Source organism: Homo sapiens, chromosome 19 (genome assembly GCF_000001405.40).
Source record: "Homo sapiens chromosome 19, GRCh38.p14 Primary Assembly".
In the NCBI taxonomy this organism is placed as follows: domain Eukaryota; kingdom Metazoa; phylum Chordata; class Mammalia; order Primates; family Hominidae; genus Homo; species Homo sapiens.
In genome coordinates this window covers 20,425,143-20,431,483 of record NC_000019.10, presented here as the reverse complement: position 1 = coordinate 20,431,483, position 6,341 = coordinate 20,425,143, and positions in this window count along the sequence as shown.

Sequence of the window (6,341 nt, the reverse complement as noted above, 5' to 3'; positions counted from 1 at the left end):
TGGTGTAAGCATAGTGTTTTGTCTCAAAGAAGCATAGGTCAGGCATAAGTAAGCCCACCCCATTAGGAACTATGTTAAAAAAATTTCAAGAAAAGATTTAATAGAGATTACAGTGTTACTATGACACCAAGAAAACTTAGAACTTTGTGTGAAATAGACTGGCCAGCATTAGAGGTGGGTTGACCATCAGAAGGAAGCCTGGACAGGTCCCTTGTTTCAAAAGTATGACACAATGTAATCTGCAAGCCAAGGCACCCAGACCAGTTTCCATACATAGACAGTTACAGCTGGTTTTAGACCCTCTTCCCCCCTACAGTAATTAAGAGAACAGCAGCATAAGCGGCTGGCAGAGGCAAGGAAAGACCGGCAGAGAGAAAAAAAGGCCACCTATACCAATTCCAAGTTAATTTAAACTAAACAAGGTCTTATTAATAGCAAAGGGTAAATGAAATCCCAAACTTACAAAGTTTTCAACAAAAGTGAAGTTTGCTAAAAGTTAACAGTGTAACGTGTATTATGGTAACTTCTAATCTTGTGGCCTTAGACAGTCTAGTCCAAAGACATAAAGAAAGTTCGCTTTAAAAAAAGGAATTGTTATCTTCAAAAAAAAAAAAAGGGGGGGGGGAGGTAGAATTTATGTAAAAAGAGTGTTATATGGTAAATTCTTGTCCTGAAATAAATTAACTAGTTGTTTAAAGAAAAAATAAATGTTTGTAATAAGTCAAAAAGTTGAGACATGTTGAAGAATTGTTGGTGAAAGTTGTGAAAGAAAAAGTGTTATAAAAAAATTTATTCAAAAATGTTATATAATTTAAAAGTAATAAAGCCTCCTAAGTACTATTTAAAAAAAAGTTTATGTGCAAAGTGTATAAGAAAAGTAAAATATACCTTTAGTAAAAAGATTATAAAAGGGCATAAGAATGTAGATTTTTACCAACATTAAAAGGTTAAAAAAATTATTGTTTTAAAAGTTTAAGCAAGTTTTAAAATGTTAATTATAAAGAAAATTCTGTGTGTGAACACATTAGCTAAAGTTAAAACAGTATCATCCAGTTTTTCTGTGAACTGGACATTAAAGTAAAAATGCAACAGGTTTTTCTTAAAGCATCACCTGCTCTTTAACAAAAATTATAAAAGGTTAAAAATAGTCTATAAAATCTTAACTTATGGTCAAACATGAAAAATTTGATAAATATGTCTACAAGGTTATGTTAAAATTAAGATTAATATTAATAACACACTAATATAAAGGTAAAATTTAGCTTATCTGGTATAAAAATCATACAAGAAACATTATTAAATATAAAGTGGTGTTTAGCTTTCTTTAGTCTAAAAACTAATAAAAATTGGTGCTAAAGGAGACGTTCATTTTACTAGAGGATCATAAAAGTTAAAGAGTTAAAACAAACTTTGGCAATTAAGACAGCATACCAAGATGCAAATTCCTGGTTAAAATAGATCACATATTCCATCTGCACCTTAAACAAAAGCAATTGTTATGCTTGTGCACATGGCAGGCCAGAGGCCCTGATTGTCCCCCTTCCACTAATGTGGTCCTCCAGTTGACCAGGCATAGGCTGCATGATAGCTCTTTTCCAGGATTCTACAGTCTAGAGTAATAAGTCATGCCAAGTTCTCTCTGCTATATTCTGAAGTCCCTGCAGGTCAGTCCCCGAAGGCCATCCAGCTTCCATCTCCCAACACTAAGTTCACTTCCTAACACTTAGGAACACTAAGACTTAGCATTCCTTAGAGACCTGAAAGGATACAGTGAGCTTAAGAATTTTCAAGAGCTTATCAATCAGTCAGCCCTTCTTCATCCTTGAGCGGATGTGTGGTGGTATTGTGGTAGACCTTTACTGGGCACTCTGCCGAATAACTAGAGTGGCATTTGTGTTTTAGTCCATTTGGCTATCCCTTTCACACTGGCATTTCATCAACCAGAGGAAATAAATAAATAAATAAATAAATAATAGGACATCATAAAGCAGGAGAAGCCCTTATAGGTCTTTCAACTCTCACATCTATTTAGATGCAATTAGAGCCCCGCAAGGAATACCAGATCAATTTAAAGCCTGAAATCAAATAGTTACAGGATTTAAGTCAATATTTTAGGAGATGACAGTCAATAAAAATGTAGATTAGATAAACTACATCTATTACAACCAACAGCAATGAGCTTTTCACAAGTTAAAAAAAAAAAACTCTTGTCAGCCACAGCCCTGAGGCTACCTGACCTGACAAAACTGTTTACACTCTATGTGTCAGAAAGAAAAAAAAAATGGCAGTTAGAGTTTTAACTCAGACTGTGAGGCCCTGGCCAAGGCCAGTGGCCAATCTCTCAAAACAACTAGTTTGGGTTTCCAAAGGCTAGCCCCCATGTCCAAAGGCCCTAGTAGCAATGGCCCTGTTACCACAAGAAGCAGATAAGCTAACTCTTAGACAAAACCTAAACATAAAGTCCCCCCATGCTGTGGTGATTTTAATAAATACCAAAGGACACCATTAGCTAATGAATGCTAGACTAACTAGATACCAAAGCTTGCTCTGTGAAAATCCCCACACAACCATTGAAGATTGCAACACCCTAACCCCGCCACCTTACTCCTAGTATCAGAGAGCCCAGTTAAACATAAACTGTGTAGAAGTATTAGGCTCATTTTATTCTAGTGGGCCCAACCTCCGAGACTACCCTTAAAAATCAGTAGACTAGGAGCTGTACATAGATAGGAGCAGCTTCGCCAACCCCTGCAAAGTGACTCTGAAGAAGACCACAAACCCTGCTCCAGTCACACCCAGAAGCTGACTGGTCCACACATAGCCAAAGCATGAAGAAACTCATTGCAGCACTCATTTTCCTTAAAATTTGGACTTGTACAGTAAAGACTTCAACTGACCTTCCTCAGACTGAGAACTGTTTCCAGTATATACATCAAGTCACTGAAGTAAGACAAAAGATTGCTACAGTCCTATTATTTTATAGTTATTGTAGGTGTACCAGGACTCTAAAAGAAACTTGTTTGTATAATGCTATTCTATCCAAGGTATGTAGCCCAAGAAATAACCTGATGCATGTTATGACCCATTTTAAGCTTCCCATGATCAGCATTTTTAAAATAAAATTTAGGACTGGTCCTTTTCTAAGTGACACAAGTAAAGTAATAGCTAGAACAGAAGAAAGAGGGGTCCCCAAAAATGTAACCTTAAAATTTGGTGCTTGTGCGCTATTGATAGTAAGCAGCATGGAATAAGATGCAGTTCTCTAAATTAGAAAAAAAAGTTACACAGTAAAAAAAAATGTATATATCTGTCAAGAATCATATTTATCTAAGATGTGTCAATACTAGTCTTGTGTCATTTAGGCTACTTGAAAAAAAGATAAAAAAGATCCTGTTTAGCTCCAAAAAGGAAAAGTCAGCCCCTCCTGCACAAGTAGGAGCTGCAACCTTTTAAAATCGATAATCACAAACCCCTCAGACCCAAAGTAGAACAAAAAATATAATGTAACATTAGGCATTGATGGAAAAGGACTAGATCCTAGTATAAGCATGCTAATAAAAGGAGGTTCAAAAACACTCTTCAGAACCAGTATTTCAGACTTTCTATGATGAACTAAATGTGCCAGTACCTGAGATTCCAGGAAAAACTAAAAATTTGTTTTTGCAATTAGCCGAGCATGTAGCCCAATCTCTAAATATCACTTCATGTTATGTTTGTAAATAAACTGTAATAAAAGATCAATGGCCATAAGAAGCCCAAGAATTAGTGCCTACGGACCCAGTTCCTGATGAATTCCTGGCCCAAAAGAATCACCCTGATCATTTCTAGGTTCTAAAAGTCTCAATTATTGGACAATATTGCATATCCAGAAAAAGAACAAAATTCACTCATTCTGTAAGTTGACTTAGTTGCCTAGGACAAAAGCTGTGTAATAATACCACAAAAACAGTTACATGGTGAAGTTCCAATTACACAGAAAGAAATCCATTCAGTAAATTTCCAAAGTTGCAGCCTGTTAAGTCCACCCAGAATTCCACGGGACTGGACAGCCCCCACCAGGTTATACTGGATCTATAGACACAGAGCTTATGCTAAGCTACCTGATCAGTAGACAGGTAGCTGTGTAATTGGCACCATTAAGCTGTCCATTTCTTCTTGCTGTCCATAAAAACAGGTGAATTTCTAGGCTTCCCAGTCTATGCTTCCCATGAAAAATGAAGCATAGCCATAGGTGATTAGAAAGATAATGAATGGCCCCCTGAAAAAATCATACAATACTATAGACCTGCCACTTAGGCACAAGATGGCTCATAAGGATATCGAGCCCCCATCTACAGGCTCAACCAAATCATAGGGTTACAAGCTGTTTTTAAAAATTATTACTAATAAAACTGGTCAAGCCTTGACTGTTCTTGCCCCATGAGGGACTCTGATGAGAAATGCTGTCTATCAAAATAGACTAGCTCTTGACTACTTGCTAGCAGCTGAAGGAGAAGTTTGTAGAAAATTTAACCTTACTAATTGTTGTCTACACACAGATGATCAGGGGCAAGTAGTTGAAGATATAGTTAAAGATATAACAAAACTAGCACATGTACCCGTGCAAGTGTGGCACAGACTCAATCCAAGAGCCATGTTTAGAAATTAATTCCAGAAATAGGAAGATTTAAAACTCTTATAATAAGAGTAATAATAGTAACAGGAACCTGCTTACTGCTCCCTTGTCTGATACCTGTATTTCTCCAAATGATAAAAAACTTCGTCGCTACCTTAGTTCACCAAAATACTTCAGCACAAGCATACTGTATAAATCACTATCAATCTATTGCACAAAAAGACATAAGTAGCAAAAATAAGAGTGAGAACTCCCACTAATAAAAAAGTGAGAGTCTCAAAGAGAGGAAATGAGGGAAGAGAGAGACCCACTCATATTGTTTTATTGTTTTATACTCAGTACCTGTTTTAAGAAAAAAACAAGGAAGTGAAGTTAAAGACAGGCAGCCCTGGGCCTGCCTGGCCTAAACCTAATAATAAAAAATCAACTCATAACTTAAAAACTGATTTTATTCGTAGATTCCAGACATTGTATAGAAGAACATTGTGAAACTCCCTGCCCTGTTCTGTTTCTCTCTGACCACCGGTGCATGCAGCCCCTGTCATGTAACCCTTGATTGCTCAAATCAATCACGACCCTTTCATGTGAAATCTTTAGTGTTGTGAGCCTTTAAAAAGGACAGAAATTGTGCATTCAGAGAGCTTGGATTTTAAAACAGCAGCTTGCTGATGCTCCTAGCTGAATAAAGCCCTTCCTTCTACAACTCGATGTCTGAGAGGTTTTGTCTGTGGCTTGTCCTGCTACACTGGGACCCTAGCTCTTTTTGTAGCAAGTTGTTTGGCATAAGGCCCAGTTATGACAGCCTTTCAAGACTAGGCCCAAGGAACACAAAAAGGCCAATTTGTTTTTGTGATTGCCTATTGTTTTTCAATAATAAATGTATGGGAATAGATTGAATTACAGATTTCTCCAATACAGCACTGGATAAATGCCTCAAGGGGCTCACACAACCTATTCTGGGACTTAGTGACCATTGTCTGTGTCCACATTCAATTGAGTTCAAATTTAATATTTAACTTTTCCTCCACAAATTCTCCTGTCTTAATTAATAGGCTCTGTCTAGGCAAAAGGCCCGTCTTGATAAATCAGCTCTGTCTAAACCAAAGGGCAAGGTGTACCCCTTGGGCCATTACACAACCTCCGCCTCCTGGATTCAAGTGATTCTCCTGCCTCAGCCTCCGGAATAGCTACAACTACAGGTGTGCACCAGCATGCCCAGCTAATTTTTTGTATTTTTAGTAGAAATTAGGTTTCACCATGTTGGCCAGGCTGGTCTTGAACTCCTGACCTAAAGTGATCTGCCCACCTTGGCCTCCCAAAGTGCTGGGATTACAGGCATGAGCCACTGTGCCTGGCCTTAAATGATTTCTTTCTATCTCCTACAACAATTTGAAATTACTTAAAGGTTGTTTCAAATTGAAAAAATAGAATGTAGATAAAAATAAAATATAAAAAGTTAAAAAAATTACAAGAGATTACAAAATATATGTGTAAATCTCGAGAGGTTAAAAGTGGCAAATTTGATTTATTTATAAGGTTTTATTAAAATTAGCTTTAGTATTGATAATACACTATTACCAAAGTAAAAGTTGATTTTCTCTTGAACAAAAATATTATGTATTATTCATATGACAGAAAAATACTCCTGCTCACCTTTTGAATACATTCAAAAACAGAGAGAGTAAAAAAGATACAGAATTGTTCCCTTCTCTGGGGTGAGCCTGGC